The sequence below is a fragment of the Homo sapiens genome, chromosome 1, assembly GCF_000001405.40.
Source record: "Homo sapiens chromosome 1, GRCh38.p14 Primary Assembly".
NCBI lineage: Eukaryota > Metazoa > Chordata > Mammalia > Primates > Hominidae > Homo > Homo sapiens.
This window is the reverse complement of record NC_000001.11, coordinates 181701957-181726501: the sequence shown is the minus strand read 5'-3', so window position 1 is coordinate 181726501 and position 24545 is coordinate 181701957. Positions and strand designations below refer to the sequence as shown.

Genomic DNA, 24545 nt, shown 5'->3' with positions numbered 1-24545 from the left:
CACACTTAGGTCTTGGCTTAAACAGCTCCCCTTCAGAGAATCCCTTCTGGCTTGACATAAGCTGCTCCCACCCAGCTCCTGTACTTCTCCACCATAGGACCCTGTTTCATTTACTTATAGCACCTGTCACTATCTGAAATGATGTGCATGTTTATTATCTATCTCACTCACTGAAATAACACTTCCATGAAAACAGACTCTGTCTGGCTCACTGCTGTATTCTCAGGAACAGTTCCCAGCATGTAGTAGGTACACTCCTATAACCAATAGTTCTGTGAGTTGATGAATTGGCTGTTAGCACAGGAGCTCAGGGATCAGTGAAGGGGGCAGCTGACTCACTCGATCGAAGGCATGTTGGGTGCAGACATCGGGCTGACCTCCTTGGCCTTCTGCAGTGCATGTTTCTGGTTGAAGGCCTCTTCTTCCTCCTGTTCATCCTAGACACAAAGCAGAGATGGCTTTGCCTGGGATCCCCAGGAAGGAGAGTAGCTTCCCTTGGCTGCTCTCCTAAGGAGGAGTTCTGAATACCAAGTGAAGTGAGGAAGACACAGGAAGAGGATAAACAAGACAGCGAGATGTTAGGTTGGCTCAGAGACTTCTGATGGCCAGAGGCCAGGCCCCTTGGGAGTCAGTAGTCTCACAGCTATAGCGTGGCCAGCAATCCCTGTCTCCATCCTGGAGCCATCCACAGGTTGCTCATGAGAACCAGGAGAAGTCTACCCCAACCCCTAGCCCTCAGTGGAGCTGGCTATGGCTGTGGAGGTCAGTGGCAGGAGCTGACACTTCCCAGATGTCCTACAGTGTCTGGAAGTGATGGAGCAGGGGCCTTCCAGGCAAGGACCCCGCCAAGTAAAGTGCTGAGGCTGAGTGCCCCATTGTAGTGTCTTCTTTGCACAGCTAAGTGGGTGCTTAGGCCAAGATCTCATCCCTTCAGCAGCATTCCTGCAAGTGTCCCCTCTATGTGATGAACCCAAGGAAAACCAGCTCAGGTAAAATGACTAGAGCTAATAAGAGCACATACATCTTCAGAGCATGCTATGGTTTTCACAGACGTTATTTTACTTGATCCTCACAGTAATCCTGTAAGGTACACAATGCAGATATGGCATTCCTGTCTCATGCATGAAGAAACCAATGCTAATAGAGATCAGGAGTCCAAGCAAAGCCAACACAGCCAATGGCAGGTGTGGGACTCAGACCCAGTTTCTCAGCTACTAAAGCTGATATTTTTCCTACCATATATGCAGATAAGAAGACCCTCAAGGATGTAGAAAGATCATCAGAGAATGCATGGAAGAAGCTCAGAAATGTCAGCAGGATGCTATGCACCTCTGCCCAAAACCAAATTGGCACCCTCTGTGAAGAGAAGGGTTTTTACTCATCTCTGTAGACCATCCCACTGCTGTTAATATTACCTCCCCACACTGGGGAAATTAATCAGAGAAAAGAAGGGAACAGTTCTGTGAGAAATTTAGTATCTGGCTTCATTGAAATTTCCCCAAAATGACCTTTGCCTACTGGAATATCCCAACAGCCATAGCCCAGGAACTGTGATGGCCCTGATCTCTCTCCCACCAAAACCCAAAAGGGTTAAGTCATGTGATTCAGGTCACACAGCCGCAGGTTGCAGTAGCAGAGGTGGAACTTAAAACCAGGGCTTTAGAATTTTCTTGACTCTCCATGATGATCCTGGAAAGGACTCCTTTGAGGGCTCATAGAAATTAAGATGTTATTTTCTGTGTTCCTTGAGGCCCCCTGGGCTAGGTTGAGGCTCACCAAACTCAATAAAAGTGAACCAGCCTTCCGTCATGGGTGTGTGGCTCTCCAACTGTCCAGAAGTTTCCAGAAAGGGCCTTCCTGGCAGGCCTGAGTCAGACAATGTAGACTTTGGGAGAGAGTTCCAAAGGCCAAAGGGTACCCAATGGCACTAGAGAAACATCAGATCCCCAGAAAACAATGCTTACCTTGGTCAGTTCCTGGGCGTTGGCGAGATTATCCACAGCGATAGCCAAGAACACATTCAGTAGCGTGTCTGGGGTGATGAATTAAGGATGGGCAAATAAGAAAAGCAAAAGTCTTCAGCAAGGCTGAGAGGCCACCTGATAATCTTTCCTGCCTGGGACATTAACAGGAACAGAAGCTACCCTGAAGAGTCACTTAAGCAGGGGCTGTGAGAACAGAGAGGGAGATGTTGTACAACTCTGTTGAAAGGAGAAAGAGGATATTTCTTCCCTCCTTCTGCATATCATCTCTTTACCCAGGATAAAGAAATACTTGAATCAAACCATCTGGGGGCCAGATGGGGTGAGGAAAATTACGATACTGTGAAAAATTATTATTTGGTCTTTAACTGTGTTTCCTGGCATACAACTCTTTAAATCCTTAGAAACTCCAAAGTGTTATCTGGTAGCCCCTAGGTAGCTTCTGGATGGGGGCTGGTCACCAAACCAAGGCATGATTAGAGAGTTGGAACTTTCAGCCCTACCCCCACAACCCCTGGGGAGGGGTGAGGGGCTGAAGGTTAAGTTGATCACCAATGACCAATGGCTTAATCAATCATGCCTATGTAATGAAGACTCCATAACAATCCAAAAGGACAGGGTTCGGAGAGCTTCTGGATAGCTGAACATGTGGAGGTTCCTGGAGACTGGCACTCCCGGAGAGGATATGAATGTTCTGTGCCCATCCCCATGCCTTTCCCTCTGCCCCTCTTCAACTGCATCCTTTGTAATATCCTTTATAATAAACCAGTAAATGTGTTTTCCTGAGTTCTGTGAGCCATTCTAGCAAATTAACCAAACCCAGGAAGGGGGTTGTGGGAACCCCGAATTATAGCCTTCAAAACACAGGTAAAGTAACCTGAGGCATGCAATCGTCATCGTAAGGCAGGGGCAGTCTTGGGGATTGAGCCATCGACCTGTGGGATCTGATGCTATCTCCAGGTAGATAGCGTCAGAATTGAATTAGAGGACACCAATTAGTATCCACTGCCGGATTGCTTGCTTGTTGGTGAGTAAAAAAACCCACGCATTTGGTTACAGAAGTCTTCTGCATTAATTGTTGATGAGTAAGGGAACAGAAAAAGCACTTTGAGTTTGTTCAGCCACATTCAAAAGGTCTTTAGACAGCTGTGGCCTCTACCCATAGCAATAACAACTAAGAGAATCACTGAACGAGATGTGTAGGGAGCTCAGTATGGGAGCTCATCTCCCCATTCTGGGAGGCTGGAATTGAATCCTACCTAGACCAATGGGCGTCACACCATTCTGTCCTTAACGACAAAAAGAATGAGATTCCAGAGCCCCTGTTACTGAGCATCTCCCAATAATGAGATGCTAACTTCTCCCATTCTTCTTGTGAGGGTCCTGAAGGGTTCCACATTTCATTTAACAAAATGTGACACAGCAGACATGATTCACTATGAAATCTATTCCTATGCCATACTCTAGTGCCTGAAGTCTCAATTTCCAACTCTCTTCAAAGCCTATGTGTTGTGGAACATAGAACTGTTCTAGCATCAAAGCCCAGCTCTGACTACCCCCAGAATATCAGGAAAATGATGGTGCCATTGGGACACATGGAGCTTCCATGTCTGTGACTTACTGCCTAGTGTTCTTTTCATGAGTTTCTCATATTGAGCTTCTAGTCTGTCCCAACCTCTAGATGTTTTCAGGGTAGAAAACGTAAAACAGCATGTCTTCTCTATGAAACTATGGAAAATGCAAAAATACACCTGCGTCCCATGGTTCTGCCTTTCTGTTCTACTAATCCCAATTCACGGCCAACCCAACTCCCCAAAAGCATCTAACAGTTGTATAGAAGTTTGTAATTATAAATCACATGCAAATAAATTATCTCATTTAGTATTCACCACGAACAAAGGAGATAAATATTATTATTCTCCTTTCAGTTGTAAAAAATAGAAGCTTGGAGTCATTAAGTAACTTTCCCAAGGCCACACAGCTGATACACAGAGTTGCTGGGATTAAAACCTAAATTTCCTGTTCTAGATCTTGTGATTGGATAGGGCACTGGAGTTAGATGGAACTGGACTTTAGTTTCCCTTTACAATTTAGTAGTTATTTTACTCGAGATATTTTTTTCTCTGTCTTGTAAGGATTAGATGAAATAGTGCCTATGAAGCACTTAGTTTAAGGTCTCACGTATAGCCCAAATACAATACATATTTGCTATAATTAGCAGTAATAGCATTAATCCTAACACTAATTTTTTGGGATCTTACTATGTGGCAGGCTCTGTTCTACATTAGCATGTAATTAATTCATTAGTGGTATAATGTGCCTCTTTCAGCCTACAGTGATCTCTGCTTTGTCTAATGTTCCCCAGCTCATAGTACCTCCAACCATTCAATGTAACAGCCTCCTATGTTATTCTTTGCATACACTACAGATTTGGATAATACTCTATCTTGTTTACGTTTGTATTCTTTACCCAACTAGTACATAAAGTCCTTCAGATCAGGATCCTTATTTACTTTAGTACACCAAACAATGTCCACGCCCCTGTCCCACCAACCCAAGCTCTAGCACCACCACCACCAATGCCTCCTCAAATGCTGGTCCAGGAAGGCAGGCAGCTTGAGGAGGTGCATCTTAAAAAGGATACAGTTGCCAAACAAGGTGAGCACAATGAAGTAGATGGCAGACCACATGCCTGAGCTGACCCCACCCTGGGAGCGGATCCCATTGTACATCACCTCATTCCAGTCCTCACCCGTCAGGATCTACAAAAAGCAAATGACAGGCGCATCAGAAACCTGGGCTGGAGGAGAAAATGGGGCCAATGCCAAGGGCAAATTCTGGGCCTGGGTCTTTTGCATCTACCCCCTTGCTTGACAATCTTGCCAGGGAGTTAAAAAAAAAAAAAGTCATTTCCATAAATAATCCTAAACTTTTTTTTCGTATGGAAAAGAATTTTAGGCATTGAAAATGGAAGGAGAGCATCAAAGGGAAAGATTCTGTTCCTCCAACTACAGAGTGTCTCCCACCTCCAGTTTTGCAAGGTCCTTGTGGAAATGACACAGATCAGGTGGTCTGGTCATTACCTAACTGTCCTCAGAGCTGCCCAGATACAGGGTCTGGAACAGCAGCATGATTGGAAAGAGCCTTGTGGGCTGCAGTTCAGGAAACGGGTTGTGGTCCAACCTCAGATTCTGGCCAAACAGTATTTTTCTTTAGGCCTAAGACACTATTGATTTTGAGTTTTCCCCATGATTTAAACGGTTGAGTTTTGGGGGGAGTAGGGATGGAAAAGAGACCTTGTTAAATAAACACCATTTAATGGATACCTCATTAAATGGGTTAGAAGATGCCCCTAGATTTCAGAAAACCATAGATGTGATTCTTGGCTGAATGCCTCAGACTCAGTGTCTCCTGCAAACTCACAGGTGTGAGAGAAGGACAGTGAGATGGTCCCAACAGAGCTCTCTTACTATTGGTAAGAACAAAGCCACAGAAGTTCTAGGGATTATTGTAGTAATGACCGCTCAACTAGAAAGAGTGCCTCAATCCCCTGGGAGGAGCCTGGAAAGGAAAAGCAGAATTATCCTGAAACTCATCCTTGTCTTGCAGTGTGCAGTCCAAGGGACCCCATGCAGCACTTGTGAACCGTCAGCTGGCCTCATACCTGGAACACAGTCATGATGGCTGCAGGGAAGGTATCAAAATTTGCCGAAGGAGTCCCATCATTAAAGTTAAACCTGAAAAACAAAATTAGAGAAAATAATGAAATGAAAATCTCACATACCAAGTTTTCCATTCCCCAAGATCACAGCTTTCATCACTTCTTTTCTCCTTTCTTCTACAACCCCCCTCTTCCCTACTTTTTCCCCATTCCACATAACTTACAAAGACTGTAACAGTGACTACTACTGATAAACTATGCACTTTGAAGAATGTGCCCACGCTGCACATTTCAGGGACAGCACCAAAGAGATGGGTCCCCGGAATGAGAACCCTGTACAGCATGAAAGGAATAAAAGCAGAGACGTTTACTCCACATATGAACTCACTCAGTGGTTAATTCAGGCCATGGGCAAAGGCAGACAGGATAGTAACATGGTGATTGAGTTAATGACCCTAGCCCAACACAGGCTACGACTGGGTTTTGAGCCTCCTTTGGATGGAAAGCTTCTGGGCACTTACCTGCCTCCAAATAACTGCATTCCTAGGAGAGCAAAGACAACGATGAAGAGGAAGAGGAGGAAAAGCAAACTGATGATAGACTTCATTGAGCTCATCAAGGAGACCACCAAATTCCGTAGGGAAGCCCAATACCTACAAAACCCAGACAATGTGACAGCTGTGAACACTGCATACCAAGTCACCCACCAAGCCCAGCTCAGCATATGCCTGGTAGTCTATGAAATAAGCTGCATTTGTATATTTGTAGGAAGTAAAGAGGGCAGAAACCTATTGCTCCCCTTGGGAATGTGGCACCATAGATATTTTTGGTTTAATCTTTGGAGAAAAAGGAAGAGCTAAAGAATAGAAAAGGGGTGGGGCAGGGAAGGGATACTTTCCCCCTAAGGGGGAAAGAGAAGATGGAAGAAAATATAAGGCAGAAAAAAGGTTCTACTCTCAAAGACATTGGGAAAAGTCCAAATTCTGATCACTTACTTGGTTATTTTAAATATTCTTAGAAGCCGGAGGGCTCGCAAGACACTGATTCCAAAAGACGTACCAGGTCTGAAGATTGCCCAGACCACTTCAAAGATACTGCCCACTGTGACCTAGAGAGGCAATGCCAGCCACAGTGAGAGGAGGAGGAAGAGGAGAAGAGGGGGCATTCTAGCGCCCAGCACACCATCAACAGCTCTCAGTGGGGGATGGGGAAATAAAAACTCTCCTCTCCCACCAGCCCTACCTTCAGTAGAACTACCTATGTGGGAAGCTGCCACCTCTCTCCCATTGCTCTCCAATCCCCTTCCTAACTTTAATCCTTCACACTGTAGATTGGCTTACTGACTCCTGTCCTTGGTGAAAACTACAACAGCCAGTTGCTGCTTCTGCTGCTCTGACAAAGGAGTGGTACTCAAACCAAGGAAACTGATTAGTACAAGTTGCTTCTCAATACAGAAATCTCAGAGAAGGTCTACATTCTCTCATCATCCTAAAATTTAGTGCTAACAAGAATGTTTTGGTCCTTGATATAATAAATATCTTTCAGTCATGGAGGTCTTGCATCCCGCAATGTGACAGTTCATGGTGATGTAGGATCTGATTGCTGCAAGATGCAGCAATTTCAGATGAACATTTCTATTTCTTTTATTTTAATTATATATTTATTGAATGTCCACTATGTTCTAGATATTGTGCTAGGAGAAACAACAACTATTAATCCTGACAGCAATGCCGAAAGGTACGGACACAAAGAAACTGAGGTTAAAGTGATCTCTCACTAGCTGTTATGCCTGAAAATTGCCCGTACTCAGAACCATATGTTCCAAGTTAAAATGTAGATTAGCAAGTGTTCAAAATCTTTAGCACCTAACTGAAGCTTTGGCAGAAAAAGTAGTGGGATTGACAGAAAGAGAAGTGGTTCAGGAGCCCAAAGTTCTGCGACCCAGTTCTGCTGCTAACTGGGTATATGAACTTGGGCACGGTAGCTTCTATTTATTCTTGTGTAAATGGGAAGGCTAACTCCTGAAATGTAATGTAGTTCATAGGACTCCTGTAAGCGGCAGGGGACAAAAATAAAAGATACGTGAAAGCACCTTGAAGTGTTAGCACAATGTATACATTTAGATATCCATGCTATGTAGAAAGTAAACAGCTGACTGAGATATTCTCTGTGAGGACTTGCTAATATAAGGGTGTGTGTGTGTGTGTGTGTGTGTGTGTGTGTGTGTGTGTGTGTGTGTGTGTGTGTTTGAATGAGGGTCTATCTAGATAATTATCCCAATTTTAAACTGAAGTAGAAAAACAAATATATAAGCTTCTCTTTCCTATGGAACCACCTCTAAAATCAAGTCCTTTGTCCTTTTCAGGCTTCCCCCAAGATAATAAGTGGTTCAAAACTCTGGCTATGGGTAGCTTTGTAAACTCTCACGGAGCTATACACTTAAGTGTACCCTCTATAATGTATGTGTTACATTTTAATAAAAATATTGAAAATCAAAGAGCTCAGAAAAACAAACAAACCCTGCATGGGAAGGATTCACTCGCTTCTGAATTCCCTTTAGCTAATCTTATCTATTCCGCTTTTACATATTCTGATTTCAGTGCCTCATGCTGAGTAAGGAGCAAGCTGCTTATCTAAAACCAGGGCATATCAACACGAAGCAGGAGCAGAGGCAGGCTTCCGAGGACTTACCCCAAAATCAAAGCAGTTGAATGAAGAGTGAAAATAAAGGCGAGGCCCCATGCCATACATCTTCAGGGACATCTCCAAGAGGAAGAGTCCCAGAAACAGAAATTCTGCATAGTCTGGAAGTATTAAAAGTAGAGCATTGGTTCCACATGTGGGGTGGGCTCATGCACTTCTCAGCTAACACACCCACCTACAGAGGATCTCACAACAACACACGTCAGGACATTCGGTGGCCACATCAGGCCAGGGCTGGACAGAGCCTAATGATGTCCGAGTACCCTCTGACCCAGGCCGAGTCCCAGGTGCACTCAAGAGATCAGCATTGCTCTCTTTCAATAGGTAGGCCTGTCACTGGTCTTTATATGGTAGAGGGCCCTCAGGGGGAAAGAGAGGACTTACTATGGCTTTGATCAAAGAGCTGGATTCCTCCCTACATGCCTGGCAGGGACAGGCCCCTGACCCTCACTCACACCCAGTGGCAGTCTAATCTGGAGCTGACCTATAAGCTCTTCTTCTGGTCTATTTGAGGTCTCCATTGCCCTGAGAACTTCCTGCCCAGGATTTCAATGATCAAAACTCCTGATCATTGAGCCTCCTTAAGAAAGGAAGTGAAGGCTTTATGGTACCCAAAGGTATAACGTTATGCTATCTTGTTGATTCATCAACAATGATCTGTTTACCTAAAGAATGAAAGCTGGAAACAGTCATGAGATACTCCAGCCCCCTTGAGGACGATGTGGCCTCCCTCACAGCGTGAAGAGGTAGAACCTTTCCTAGCAGGGTGCTTTGCTGTCTTGCGTTCACACACACATCAAGCTGCCCCACATGGGGACCAGCAGAGGAGGCTTTAGAGAGAGGCTTTACTTACAGAGGAGGTGGGTGAGCCACTGGGGCTGGTTGTGATGGACAATGGCCACACAGGCAGTGTTGAGTGCCACAAGGCTCAGCACAATCCAGTAAAACACCTGGGATTTAACCATGTGGCGAATGGAGATGCGCAGAAGCCTTTCCTTGTGCCGGAAATAAGAGACCCCGTCTACCTTTGCACTTTTGATACTGGCTCGGGCCAGAGGTGTGCCTAAGAGGGAGAAGTAAGGAAGAATGAGACTGCAAAATATCCTGTGGTCCGGGCCAGGGAGCATTCGAAGGGCAAGATGGGCTGCTCTAGTCCCAGGGCAAGGTGACTGCCACATTGCAGGTGTGGGGAATCCCCATCTTACGGGCTCAGTAGTTTCTATAGGCAGTGACCCTGTTTTTCCTCTCTGGGCACTCTCAGTCCTAAGAAATGGAAAGATTCCCCAGACAGGACACCAGTGTCTTGAATCTTAATAGGATCGTGTTTATGTTTTTAACAGATTGGGCTTCTTTCTGCCCTTTCCTTTTAAAATAGCTTCAAGCACTGGAATTCTTCTGCTACACTGGTGATATTTCTACCACTGGTGGCACAAAACAGCAATGAGCTTTGTAAGTCTCTTCTGCTTTTGAGGATGGAACAAGACCTTTCCCTTTTTCTGGGGAGGAAAAACCTGCCATCAGCCAGAATCTCTAGGAGCACCTGAGATGGAACACATAATGTTAAATAATTGCCAATCAGAATTAGTTTAAATTTCACATGATGGAAGTAGGTGGGGGCTACTGTTGTTAAGCAAATGGCTTCAAGATCTCACATCCGTGTCCCTGGAAGCAACAGGTCCTCAGGATCCTTTGAACAATGTCCCATAGTGGGTTCTCATCATCACTCCCAGGAGAGGGTGGATACTTCTGCAAATGGAATACATCTGCCACACCTGAAAAACTTGGGTTGGATTCTTAGCCCTAAATCCCATGTTTCGTGTGAATAAATAGCATCCCCAGGTCCTTTTTTTTTTTTTTTTAAATAAATCATTGTAATCTAGATTCGATTTCCACCCTTTTCCTTAATTACATTCCTAAATTCTGGACCCTTTGGATTCTTTCCCTCCTTGTGGTGCTTCTCAAAAGACAGGATCTTCCTTTTCGTGGGAGATTCAGAGCAGTAAAAGATCTAACTGGATCCACTCACCCACAGAGGAGATATCAACACAGTGCTCATCACTGGAGTCTCGAGTCATGGCCTCTGTCCGGCTCCTCTTGATGGTTGCCCTTCGAAGCACTGCATCAGGGAAAGGGAAGACCAGTGAGAGGCCACAAGTACACCCAGACCATTCTGGACAAAATTTTGAGGAATGCAGGCAAGATGCCTTGTGTGAGGCCCCTGTAACACAGGCATCTATCTGCCTTTAATACCTGAGCCAGGGTAACAGAAATCACGGATGTCTACCGGACCGCAAATGCTGTGCTCACCAGCACCTTCCTGCAACACAAGAGCTCTGGAAGCCATGCTAGAGCCTATCTAAATGCAGGAGGTAAACAGGCACTCCGTATCCATCTGTCCTGGCTCTTCATCTACAATGCCACTTCCTGGTAATGAAAGTGGTCTCAAGGTGATCCCCACACATTTTAAGAGAAGGTCCCTTTAGATAGCATTGGTTGTAGGATGGCCTTTTCCTTGCTCAGTATCAATCACATGCCCTGGAACAAAGCAACTCTTGGGTTTCATTTTCATCACTTTAAAAGGCATTTAAATCTGTGACTCAATTCCCTTCATTTTAAAGCATGAGGGATTTTATGACAGAAAGACTCTCATTTCCAATCCCAGAACACCATCTTTCATTTCTTTCTCTCCTTTTGAATAACAGAGATTGCCATCGCCTAAGAGGGGCAAATGCAACTGGAATAAGGCATCAGAACATTTCCTTACCTTCTAAGGCGGATGTTCCAGCATTTTTATTTTCTTCAGCGAGCATGACTTCCTCTATATGGAAACAAATGGTTTGGTAAATTATCTGTAAATGCCAAATTATTCTGCAAGATTAAAATCCCTCAGGGACAACTTCAGCTCAGGGCAACAGAGAGAGAGCAGAGTTCAGAGCCTGTCACAGGCACCAGCATCAGAAAGAAAGCAAGTGTCACAGAGGGTGCACAGAGAGCTCCTGAGAACAGAAAGGAAGCCTCGGGGAGGGGGTGTTTGGGGTAACAATCGGCTCTGTGTCTGATACTCCTGTTCAGGAGGATACCTGTGAGAAGAGAGGAAGAAGCTAAAATCCTTGATAGGAATGAAAAATTTCCATTTCTGTTTTTAATTCCACCCAGCTTCCTGTCTTTCCTAACTCCTTGAACTTCTAGCAGCAACAGCTTCCTTAGCTTCTCTTGCCAGTGGCCATGGGTTATAACATCTACACCCTCATTCAGGAGCTGAGCCCATGTTTTGGGCTTTATTCTATGTCTCTGAGGAGGAGTCAGAGGAAGATGCCCAAAGGTCCTTGGAGACAGGAGGGGGGCTTGTGGGTTTCCTCCTGTCCCCATGGCTTCCATCCTTTGTTGGTTGACCAGAGCCTGAGCCAAAGAGGCTTGGGCCAATCATGAATTTGTCCCTAAGATAAAATTTAAAAAGTATTTGGTTTTTGTCTCTGGTTCCTGGCAGTCTTTCATATGCTAATGAAATGACTCATGGAGGAGAGAGGGGCCCTGGATAGGTTAGAGGAGGTAGCTTGTAGCCAGAACAAACAGCCACAGGACTGGAGGCTAGAACTTTCAGCCTCCCCCTACTCCCACTTCTAGGGAGGAGGGGCACTAGAGATTAGTTTAATTGCCAATGGCCGATGGTTTAATCGAGCATGCCTATGTAATGATGGGCATGCTAAATGTTGGGGTTCAGCATGTTGGGGTTCAGGAGGCATCTGGGTTGGTAAACACATCAGTGAGCTGGGAGGGTGGTGTTCCCAGAGAGGACATGAAGCTCTGTGCTCCCCACCACCATACCCTGCCCTATATACCTCTTCCATTGGGCTGTTCCTGAGTTGTATCCTTTATAATACAGTATGGTTTTGCCAAAGTTCTGTGAGTCATTCTAACAAATTACTGAACCAGTGGGGAGTGGGGTGATGGTTGTGGGAACCCCAGATTTGTAGTCAGCCAGGCAGATATGTTGGTTGCCTGGAGATCCCACTTTTGGCTGCCATCTAAAGTGGGGGCAGTCCTGTGGAACCGAGCCTTTAACCTGTGGGGTCTATGCTAATTTGAGGTAGTATTTCGTGTTAGAATTTAACTGATTGTTGAACACCTAGTTGGTGTTAGAGAACTGAAGGACTGGTTGATGATGAAATAATATATTTGCTTGTTGGAGTTCTAAAATGACACCAGACAGTCCCCTGTACTCTTCCCACTTGGTGTCCCCAGGAGCAGTCCCATACTCTACTGAGGTGTCATCATCTGAAGGGGAATATTTTCTACTAAGACTTTTAGACCAAACCTCACTAGCATCCCTCCAAGTGCATCAACAAAATAGCCCTTCTCTCCCAAGTCTGGTGGGATCCTGCATGCCCTATGAGGAGTAACGGGATGAGTTTGAGCTCAACCCATAGGCCAGGGAGCCAGAGGCCTCGTTAAACATTCCCTAAGATCCCAGCTGCTGGGGGAAAGCTAGCTTCAGACCCTACTAAACAATGGTTTAATTTAAACACTTTTAACAAGTAAAAGGACAGTAGGAGAGGTTAAAGTCATTACCGTAATTCCAGCTACAGATAAAACTGAGAGTACATAATGTATTTCCTAGGGAGGGGAACATTTTAAGGCTGGGATGGTACTCACCGGATGGCCATTATTACAAAGTCATAAATGTTTGCTTTCTTTTTTAAGTATAGCCTCTGGCAAAACGCTAAATTAACAGGTTAAGTGTTATTGGTGGGGCACTCCTTCCTGCAGACATAAAGGGTTTTTAAGTCATTTTATAGCACGTGTTTGGAGGGCATCATTTAAAAATTAGGAACTTGTTAAAATACCTCATAGCAACTTTAATTATCTTAGCCAGACAGTCAAGTCACTTTTGCTGTGCACAGTGTCTGGGCTTTGGGGTGAGCAGATCTGGGGACCCCCCAGGACAGATGGAAGGTGTGTGGTGCTGCCGAGATCTCTGGGAAGCACTCAAGGGCTCTGGATTTGCTGAAGCCATCCCCCTTCCTCCTCACCCCATGCCTTTTGCCAAGTTCGCTTTAGAACTTGAGTGTCTTTCCAGGGAAATGTAACCCATCTGTCTCTGATTCACTGGCGCTCCATTTGTAAAGGGAAGGGCCAGGAAGCACACTTTGACGTCGCAGTGCGTCTTTTTTCTTAGAAGGAGGAGAGAGCTGGCTTTGCCAACTGGAAGAAAGGGAAGCCTTGGAATTCTGCAAGTATTTGAAAAGCAGAGCCCCAGCGAGCAGCATACCCTGCCACCTGACCTGTGTGGGGTGGCCAAGGCTGGGCGGGCTCCTTCCTGGGTCTGCTGCCAGCTCTCTTAGTGGTCTGTCAGATGGCTCCTCCGCCGAGAAAGCCAAGGACAGCTGGGACCATCAAGCTGCCTTCCTGGCCTAGAGGCAAATCTGCTTGACCTCCCATGGTAAGCCTGAGTTACCATTCTGGGAAGCGGTAGGGGATATTTGTGTCCACTTCATCCCTACACAACAGCCTTGGAGGAGAAAGGGCGAAATGCAAGTATAGTCAACACACATTGCTCATGTTTCCAGAGGCTACAAGGGAGTGCAGATCGCAATCATACAGGTACCCTCTCAACCCTTGGAGGTCACCAAAAGTTGACTGCAGAGCTTAGAGAGGGTTTTTGTGTGTTGGCAGTCACAGTAAGTGTTATAGTGTCATTCCAAAGCTCCTACAGAAGAATAAGGCTCAAGCAACTAAGCACTAAATCATACTCCAAATTTTTCCTCTGTGACCTCACTTTTGTGCTATGTTTTCTATTAGGAATAGAGAAAAGATACTGTCATACGTGTAGTTTTTATTTAAGAAATCACTTGTTCCTCTGGAAGAAAATGAAGATATATAATACTAATGCAAACCAACCTTTAAAATAATAAAGAAAGCAAACCCGTCCCTTTTATTGACAAATATGGGGGTGATTGATGCCCTTCATAAGCATCTGAGCCACAGCCAAACTTGAATCTGGTGGCTCTGTGGGTTAATGAAATCATGATAGGTTTGGACCTATTCTCACAGGCAGCTGAGAACTATTCCTAATGTTGAGTCACAGGGTAAGAACTGATGACAGCTCAAGGCTTAGGAAAACACCTGTTCTCACCATTATCTCCTCCCTAGATGGCGGCACTACTAGTCCCTCTGCTTCCAGCCTTATCCTTCTATGGTCTATTCTCAATGCGGCCAGCACGTCAGTCCTCTGCTCAAAACCCTCCCATGGTTCTTGTGTCACTCAGAGTGAAGCCCATAGCCCTTACAAGGCCCCATAAGGTCAAACACGATTGCTGCCCACTTCCCCCATGACAGCTGTCACTCTGTCTCCTGTTCCTCCTCCCTATTCCTTCCCCCTTCTGCTCCTTGGGCACCCCAGCTCACTCCCATGTTAGGTACTTGGCGCTGAAATACTCCTCTCCCAGAACTTCTTCTGGCTCACTCCTTCATTTCTTCAAGTCTACACACCAATGGGCCCACCCTGACCTCCTATTTAAAACTGTGGCACATTCTATATCCCATACCCCTAACTTGATCAGTTTTCCCATCATATTTACCACCTTATCATTGTCTTATAAGTTACTCATTTATTATTTTGTTTATCGCTGCCTTAGCCAACTAGAGAGCTTTACAAGAGAAGAGCTTTGGTGAGCTGGTTGACTGTTTGGCTCACTGCCATATCCCAAGTGCTTAGAACAGGGTCTGGCACAAAGTAGGCACTCAATAAATATTTGCTGAATGAATGGACTGCTGTGAGCACCAGGAACGGTATTACAAAACGCCATCAGCCCAGTCTCAGCTCCAGGATTGGGTTATGTTACTTTTACTCAGTTCACCTTGCTAAGATGCCTGCCTTAAGGTGTTGGGACAGTTTGATAGACAGGACAGTTAGACCCCAGAGGAAGAAAGTCGGATGAGCAGGGAACCTTAAGAGCCAACCAAGCATCCAGAGTGTCTCTCTTGTCTTGTCTAGGCTGCCCCTTGAATGGGAGCATTGGGAGTGAGGGGCCGGCCCTGATGTCTCTGCAGCCCACTCACCAGCCTCCTGCAGCCCCCCAGGCCTACCTGCTTTGTCTATCCAGGCACGGTAGCCATTCAGCTCACGCTCAATCTGCTGCTGGCGCCGCAGCTTCATGAAAGCCCTTCGGTTCTCCACTCTCTCTCTCTCTTTGGCAAATTCCCTGTGGACAAGAAGGATAAGATTCACTGGGTTTGGACAGGGCCATGACTAAGGGAAAGAGTGAATCAAGCAACAGAGAGAGAGCATCTGAGCAAGTACCTCTATTAAGCCCATGTACCCTTTCCCCTGACCCAGGCTGCAAATATGACCTCCTTACAATGTTACACAGAAACACACCTCATTCAGCCTCACAAAGGAAGCCTTCCCAGACTAGCTGCATTCCAGTCAGGACCAACTGATTGCTTGCTCTGTTTTGAAAGGTATGTTCTTAGCCATGTGAGAAACTAGGTTTCAAAATGCCATGTTCCACCTCTTCAGCTACAACAAAAACCCTTAACCCTCTGAAGGGCACAGCTACTCTTTCTCCTTTTGATAACAATAGTGATTAACGTATATTGACCAATTATGATGTGTTGGCCCTGTATCAAGGTTTTTACACCCATTAACTCATTTCATCCTCACGACCATCCTATGAAGTATTAATACTATTAAAATTCCCATTTAACAGATGGGGAAGCCAAGGTTTCTTGAGGTGAAATGCCTTGCTGGGATTTGAACCCTAACCACAATGCTGTGTTGCCTCTGCTGTCCTGTACTCTAGTGCTCAATAAAAGCTGCCACTGAAGATCAATGAGCCTGATGACTTCAAAGGCTAAAATGCTATTCGAAGGTGACTGATGTCAGTTAAATAAGAAAGGAAGGGACGTGAGAAGGACACCTGACTCCCATAAAGCCAGTGGGAAGGTGGTGGGGGTGGGGTGGAGGGGAGATCATGAGGCAGAGGGAACACTCAGGTGAAGGTCAGGGTCAGGAAGAAGATAGAGCCCAAGATGGGCTCAGGGGGCCAATGCCACTCCGTGTGACAACAGGAATGAGAAGGCTACAGCTCCATGGGAGAAAGAGAAGAGAAGAGGACTAAGGGCTCCCTGATAGAGAAGAGGAGGATCAAATTTATTGGGTGAAAGAATGGGGATAAATAAATCACAGTTTGCTAACAGGTTCCTCCAGAAGCCACCTCTAGCAATGCCTCTCTCATCACCAAACACCCTTCCAGGCTAGGATGCCCTTACCAGTGCAGTGCCTCCCAGCCATGGCTCAGGTGTTCTCCTACTACCTGGGAAGCTGTTCTACTTATTAAATGTGATCCCCATAAAGAGCTGCAGGCCAGGCACAGTGGCTCATGCCTGTAATCCCAGCACTTTGGGAAGCTGAGGTGGAAGGACTGTTTGAGCCCAGGAATTCGAGGTTACAGTGAGCTGTGATCATGCCACTGCACTCCAGCCTGGGCAACAGAGCAAGACGTTTAAAAAAAAATAGAGCTGCAGACTGAATCTGAGGGAGTCCAGCACCCACTGTAAGTCCTGCCAGTTTCTCTGTCATGTCTAGGAAAGAAGAAATGAATGAGGGGCTGGGGGATGGGCCCCAGCTACAGTGCAGGGAAAGGGAAGACGCCAGTCTACCATAATGCCAACAGACACCTGTTCGTGTCACACCTGGCCCTCCTGCCAAAATAGAGCTGGTGTCCTTGGGTACAGCCACCTGCTTACAATCAGGCAGAAGGTGTAGGGAAAGGCACACCGGAAGGACAAATTCTCCTGTGCTTGGCTTCAGGTTCATTGGGTTCTACTAAAGGTGCTATGGGGGAAGGGAAGGAAAGAGTCAAAATGAAGAGTGACCAGGGCCAGTGAGGGCCAGGATAACTGAATTCAAGCCCTGGGATGCCTCCTTTCTACTTTCTGAATTTCAGAAATTTGAAAGTAACAAGGGGCTGGCTTGGTTCATGACATCACCATCCACCAAAATTCTTACCTTTGGATTTTTGCTTCTTTCAATCCCTCCTGTCCAGTTAGTACCATTGTCCTGTTGGTTCTACCTTCATAAAAGCACTTGAATTCACCCTGCCTCTCCATCCTCACTATCTTGATCCATGATCTCATCCTTCCCTGCCTGGACCACTGCAATAGCACCCGGCTGGTCTCTCAACCTCCTGTCTCTTTCTCCTCCTTTCACCCATCTCACACTATCAACGTTATCTTTTTAAAAGGTCATTCACTGGATCTTACCACTTCCAAACCTCCAGTACTAACCATGGCAAGTAACATGTGTAGAGCACATCTTAATTTACCAAGCACCTTCATATATTTTGCTCATTTAATCTTTACAACCATTCTGAGAAGAAGGTAGAATAGGTATTTTCATCCTTAACTTAAAAGTTATGCAACTTGATGGAGTTTAAGTAAGAAACAGAGCCAAGATTAGAACCCAGGCCTTTCTCTTGTAAGAGCCCAAGTCCTTCATGCACCACATATTTGCCTAGCCAAATGGCATTTTTATATGTTACTTTACCTTTTCATAGGTCTGTGTCTTGATTTCTCAACCCTGGGGGAATCCAGGGAGGTTTAATAAGAAGGTGATATTTTGAGCAAGACCTTGAAAGAGGAGAATTGAAGCAGGCTACGACCGGAGGAACATGATCATCCTTGAGCATCTAGGATAAGCATTATGACCAACATATCCATTTTCCAGCTCAGAAAACTGAATCTAAAGTGACTTAAGTGGCCCTTTGAGAGGGCAAGTGTCCAAGGACACATAGCCCCTCAGAGGAACCACAACTCTCAGATCTTCTAAATTTCATCTCTTTCTACTCTATTAGCCCCTCTTCTATGGCTTCCATCACCCTCTGCTCAATGAAGAGGATGAAGCCTTCAAGCGTGACGTTCAAAGTCTTACACAGTTGTAGCCAAACCTTTCTCTTCAAGCCTTATCTCCTCCTGCCATCCCTATCCACCCCCTGCCTGCCTACAGCCCACCACAGCCACACTTCAACTACAGCACATTTCCCACACTTACTGAAAAGGCAGGATGGGCGTTCAAGGCTAGTGCACAATGCTTATCTGCCTGAGTCAAAATCCTTCTTCAAGGCCAGGCTGAAATGTTGCCTCTTCTCTTTGGGTCCCACCATCACTGCACCCCAACCTTCTGGCCTCCAGTCTACCTCTTCCCCATCCCTTTAGAGCTCATCTTGCAGTCAGACCTTTACTATGGTCAGCTGTATGTCTCTCCTTCTATGTGAGCTTTTTGCAAAAACATTCTGTGCCTTACTCAACTTTCTATCTTCCTAGACTAGAATAGGCCTACCACATAGTATATGTTCAGTAGATTTTTTTTAATGACAAATATCCAGGCTAACTAGGAGAAGTCATAGTTCTTCCCTGACTCCCAGAGGCTTAAAAGGAGGAGTACTCCATCTCTGCACTGACTCAAAGGGAGCAGGTGAACTAGGAGCAACTCCTGCACACTGCCACCAGTTTCTCTTCATTTGACTCCACTATAATCAGTGTAAATTAGACTATGAAGAATGGGGTATGTCATCTTTATAAGGCCCCCAGAATGACGATGTAGCTTGATTTCTGGTAGGATAGGCCAACAAACCCCCGTCTAACCTCCCTTTATCTAACCTCTTCCGGTTCCAGGTTAAGCGCTGTTTCCACATGCCTCCTTGTGTTTGGAAGTTTCCTGGATCCAGGTCTCACTCGCTGGGTTCCCTGCTCTTCTTCGCCATTGTAGGCTCCCTTTCCTCCCACCCTCCCACCTGGCATCCTAGCTGGAACTCACAGTCCCAGAGCCCAACCAATTTGGCCAAGCCTCTTGGCTAAAAGAAGTAAAGCAACGAATGTGCACCACTGGGAGTACCTCCTAAGCAGCTCCAGCACCTTAATGGAGGATGTGGGGGACCTTCTTTATGATGCTTTATCAAGCAGCCTTTTCTGTTTTGTTCTTTCATTGGGAACCTGGGTAGCAAGTCCAGCACCTGTGTCTTTCCTAACTCTTACAGCCCCTCTGCCCTCGCTGCTGTAATTGTTAGTACCCATGGCCTGTCTCCCTGACTAGTCTGCAGGCTTCATGAGGTCAAGTAAAGCCTTCATGAGGTCAAGTATCACATTCCAACAAGGGTCAGCGAAGCTTAACCCAGTGTCTGGTATGATAGATTCCATAGATTATAGAAATAAAATATCAAGAACAGCTAATGTTCATGTAACACATTTAAACTTGTTAAATTTACAAATCATTTTCATGTAAATTATTTCATTTATAGTTTCAAAAGCCCTGCGAGATTCAAAAAGATTACTTGCCCAAGATAATCCAATTAGCAAGAGGCAGAGACAAAATTCAAACTAATGTCTTCTTCCAGGTTATGTGCTGTTTCCACAATGCCTTAGCTGTCTTCCCTGCTATCTAGAAGTCAACATTTAAAATCTACAAGAGGGATTTCATTTCAGCCCAAGGTTGAGGAAAATAAGGATATTAAAACAGATGGGTTTTGTTTTTCTTTAAGGGACTATCCTTTTCATTGAGACAGTAGCATAAAAATCCATTGCTCTGTGTTGGGTTATTAAAGACCTAGAATAAAATTCATAGCGTTAGTCAAGCTAGTGATATACTGCTTGATTTTGTGTCCATTTATTCATACACATATTGCATTCTGGAGAGAACAGGAGCAAATAAGATTCAGCTTCATAAACCTTAGATTTAACATGCCCATCAGGCTCATGGGTATATATGTGGCCAGACCTGCGAAACAAAGCATACTCCTTTAACTGGTCCCTCTCTCCTCTGAGGATCTGAGTACCCTGTCCTCTTCACAGAGGATCCTGGGGTGATTCGGATGATGATGCATATTACGGTTATTTAGTTTACCAGATGACTGCTGAATTCCCCCACTGAAAGGCAGCTCATAGCAGGGCACTATGAATATCTTAATTTATCCAGTTCCCTTGGAGCAAGGCATAGAAAATGTAAAAGGGGGAATCTGGCCTATAGAAGAAGAGTGTTCATATTCCCTAAGGCCCCTTGGCAACAGCCTGTGGCCTAAGGTAAGAGGATAGGTAATTGGCTCCTTTTCATTTGTTCTATCCAGGGTTTCTACACCGAGAGATGCAACAGAAATCAAGAAGGGATGCATCTAGATTTCAGAATTCCAAACAAGGGGAACAAAAACAAATCCCCATGTGATGCAGCAGAAACACCACCATTCTATTTTCAGAGCTGGGGATCTAGGTATCCTCTGCTGCTTACAAACTGGACAGTCACCTTGCTGTCTCAATTTCTTCATCAGTAAGAGTTGACATTAGGACCCACATAAACCCTAGGCTCATAACCAGAGGCAGGGATAGATCTGGTTGACTCTGAGAGTCCTGACTAGATTCCCATAAGAGATTGTACAGTGACACAAATCCAAGTCGTGTTTCATTCCCGATACTTCTCCTTACCCAATTCTGTCATCCTTAATTTTAGGTTGCTCCTCCAGCCCCAAACCTGGCTCCTCTGAGGGAGGATAACCTGTAGGTCCCCTCACATACGGCTCTTGCATACAGGGAAGTAAGGTGAATTGGAGTTAAGCATGGATGAGCCTCTACTCTAGATGCTACATATGTATGCAAGGTTTGGGTTTCTAAATTTCAGTCATGGAAACTAAGAACAAGGTGGATCTCTTTGCCCTGCATGGTTGAGCACAGTTTTCTTTTATCCTGGTTACTACATTTGTATTTGTGACTGCTTTTTTTCTGCAGCAGTTTACATGAGAAATATAAATTGTAAAACTCAACTATTCATACACAGCTAATTCTATATAATTAATCATTAAGATGAAGTGGAAGAATTACATAATCTCATACAAGGTAGAATGCCCAAAACATTTATCATGTGTGCCTGGAGGGATGAGGGGAGAGAAGACAGAGACTTCTTTGAAATCATTTTAGGTTATTATTAAAATTAGCATTTTATGAATGTATGAACCTATAAGGAGCCACTGCTACAGACAAATCACAAAGTGGCTAATTTCTGCCTTAATGAAGTAACTGGTTTTAGCCCATAGGCTGATACTAGGAGGGTCTTCGGTCATTCACATTTCTAGACTTGATTATGCTGTTGCTAACTCTTGGGGATTAGAAGTGAGGTTGATGAAAGCCTAGCTCCAGCCTGAAATGTCTGCCCATGTTATGTGACCCCAGAGTCAGTCACAGGGCACCTGGACTGGTATCTCGATGCTTGTCTAGCGATGAAGATGTTCTGGTAGGTCGGCTGGGGTAAGAAAGCCTCGGTTGGAGGACTGCTTGACTCATGTTTTAGCCTCTCGCTCCAGACCTCTCCTCCCGGCTCCATGCAGGGAGCTTTGTTTACTGATGCACAGCCCCTCGCTGCTGTCATGACAACCAAAAGGAAGACAAAGTGCCAGGATGGGCTGGCCTGTGTGACTCAAAGATCTGTTTATCCACACTACTGTACACACTTGCATGCTTCATCACACACATTGGCATGGAAACACACACTCATCCTGGCACAAGCAGCATACGTACACACACTCTGCCAAGCACACAAATGGCCACATGGTCATATTCCTATTAATCTTCAGAGTCCATGTTTCAGAGAGCTTTGCTACCCATAGGGAAACCTTGCCAAGGTTCCTGTAAAGTCTTTGCTTTAGGAAGGAGGAATTTGGGTTAGACATCAAGAAAAACCTCTTCAACCCTAAATGTTCTGAAACTAACAGAGAAATTGGAAGCAAGATTGGCAATTCTGTGTTGGCAGTGGTTTCATTTCAGTGCCATTGGAAAATGGGTTGGGGTTAGGGTGAGCCTCTTCAATGTTTCTATATTTTCAGTGTTCTTACGAGCCTGGGGAACCATTTCTCCCATTTTTCAGAGAAGCAAACACAGCCCCAGAGAAGGTAAACACCTTCCTGAAGGTCATAGAGTTCAGCAGTATTAAAGTTGTTTATGCTTTATCCCTTGACTTGTTCCAGAAAGGATTTAAGGAGACTTAGGTTGTCAATAAAGGCCAAAACAGAAGCTAGCCCTCTAAATCCTATCCATTATTGACTCTAATAAGCAGGATGGGTGATGCAAATGCTCGACGACATCATATGGGGTCATTCTTCCTTAGAATCTGGAGCTTTCAGAAGGCTCCTCCTATGAGCAGAAATCCTTCCCTAAAGTGGTTAAGGCAAATAAATGGCATTACATGAAGTGCTATATCCCACTCCTACTCCACCACCTTATGTCCACGGCAATGGAAGACAGACCAGGAGTCTCACAGACCAGGATATCAGGCGAGGGGAACCTGACAGATCACCTGTCCAAGACCGGCTTTCCATAAGCAGGGAAACTAAGGCATAGAGAGAGGTCAGATGACTTGCCATTTCCAAGGATTAGGGCGGTGGCGGCAGACCTAGAGCATCACGTTCCAAAGCCAGTGCTATTCCACAGCTTCATGACATTTCAGTTATGAGAACTCAAAGAAGATTATTCTTTTAGGAGCTCAGGGAATGACTGGTCTTTTTTCTTTCTCTTCTCAATATTGAGATCTCATTTATTTGTTTGAGTAGACACAGGGGAAGAAAAGCATGACAATTAATGTAAGGGAGATAATGAAGGAACTGGAATATGTTTCCTGTTTCGGTTTTTAACCTTGAAGTTGGTGGAATCCAGAATGTTAAAGTATAATGATTAAAAGCTCTGAAGTTGTACAGACCTGGGTTTGAATCCTAGCTCCATCGTGGTGTGATCTGGGGCAAGTTCTTAAACTAAATCTTAGTTTCCTCATTCATAAAATTAGGAATAATGATCATACCTATCTCAAAAGGTTGTTGTGAGGATTAAATGATAGAATGTGCAAGGTATAGTAGGTGCTCCAAGTAGCTGTTATATTACTGACTTTTCTGAGAATGTATCATAATACAGATAACCTATTATCAAGGCCTTTATTTTATATATTCATTCCACCTCCAAAATACAATTTATTGAGTGCCTACTACATGGTAGGTACTGTTTTAGAATATGAGGATATAGCAGCAAGTATAATTGGGCATGCTGGTATGCACCTGTAATCTCAGATACTTGAGAGGCAGAGGAAGGAGGATGGCTTGAGGTCAAGAGTTCAAGACCAGCCTGGGCCAGAGAATAAGACCCCCTTCTCAAAAAAAGAAGCAAATCTTTGTCCTCAACAGAGCTTACATTATACTGCAGGAGAAAAACAATAAACAAGATAAATAAGCATAATAAACAGAATGTTATAAACTGATAATTCCTCAGGGAAAAATAAAGCAGAGAAGTATAGTAAGTATTGGGTGTCGGGGAGCTGGAATATTTGGTTGAGTGGCCAGGGAGGGCCTCACTGAGGTGGCTTGAGGAATGACATGAGAGATGTGAGGAAGTGAGCCATGCAGACATCCGGGGAGGAGGATTCCAGGCAGAGGTGATGACCAGGGCAAAGCTGTGGGGCAGAAGCATCTTGCAGGAGCTTTTGAAGAACAGAAAAGAGCCAATGTGACTAGAGTGGACTGAATACATGGAAAAAAGGTCAGAGTGGTAGCAGGCAGTGGGGAAGTGGAGGGCCATCATGTAGGGCCATAGATACCCTATAAAGATTTGAGTTTTACTTGGTGTCATTGGGAAACGATTGGTCAGTTGCAGCAGAGGAGTCCCACAACTTAAGTTTGCAAAGAATGTCTCTGGTTGTCCTGTTGAAAAGAGACTGAAGGGGATTAAGGGTGGAAGCAGGGAGATCTTCCAGGTTGTATCCAGATGATGGTGGCCTTGGCGAGAGTGGTAAAGTATAGCTCATGAGAAACAGTGGGGCTCTGGATAGACTGTGAAGACACAGCTAGGAGGACTTGCTGGCTGGTGGACGAGGAGTGTAAGAGAGACATGCATCCAAGATGACCCCAAAGTTTTAAGCTACAGCAACCAGAAGAATGGAGTTAAACAAACCAGGATGGAAAAGATAATGGAGCAGGTTTGGGAAGAGGGAGGATCAGGAATTCAGCTGTGTATATAAGTCAGCTGGATATCCTGACATGTTTATATTAAAGATCATTAAGCTCAATAGCACCAAATTCTCTGTCATCCACACAATATGTGCCAGCTGCTTCAAGGATTGTCTGCTGTGAATGAAACAGAACCATCCTAGATGCTCTTTCTCTGCCACCCTCCTTCCCCTC

At 45.0% G+C, this 24545-nt stretch overlaps 1 protein-coding gene across 14 annotated transcripts in view; it reads right to left on the bottom strand.

The window, feature by feature from the left end:
• CACNA1E (calcium voltage-gated channel subunit alpha1 E) overlaps positions 1 to 24545 on the bottom strand; it is a 490386-nt gene that overhangs the window by 81583 nt on the left and 384258 nt on the right. For all 14 annotated transcript variants that reach the window (XM_017002244.2, XM_017002243.2, XM_017002249.2 and 11 more), the window contains 11 exons: positions 15433 to 15548; positions 11111 to 11164; positions 10373 to 10462; positions 9200 to 9409; positions 8335 to 8447; positions 6639 to 6751; positions 6165 to 6296; positions 5647 to 5719; positions 4627 to 4744; positions 1965 to 2032; positions 340 to 437 (listed from right to left, as the gene is read on the bottom strand). In XM_017002244.2, the coding sequence (XP_016857733.1) occupies positions 340 to 437; positions 1965 to 2032; positions 4627 to 4744; positions 5647 to 5719; positions 6165 to 6296; positions 6639 to 6751; positions 8335 to 8447; positions 9200 to 9409; positions 10373 to 10462; positions 11111 to 11164; positions 15433 to 15548 (1185 nt within the window). The remainder of the gene's footprint in view (positions 1 to 339; positions 438 to 1964; positions 2033 to 4626; positions 4745 to 5646; positions 5720 to 6164; positions 6297 to 6638; positions 6752 to 8334; positions 8448 to 9199; positions 9410 to 10372; positions 10463 to 11110; positions 11165 to 15432; positions 15549 to 24545) is intronic.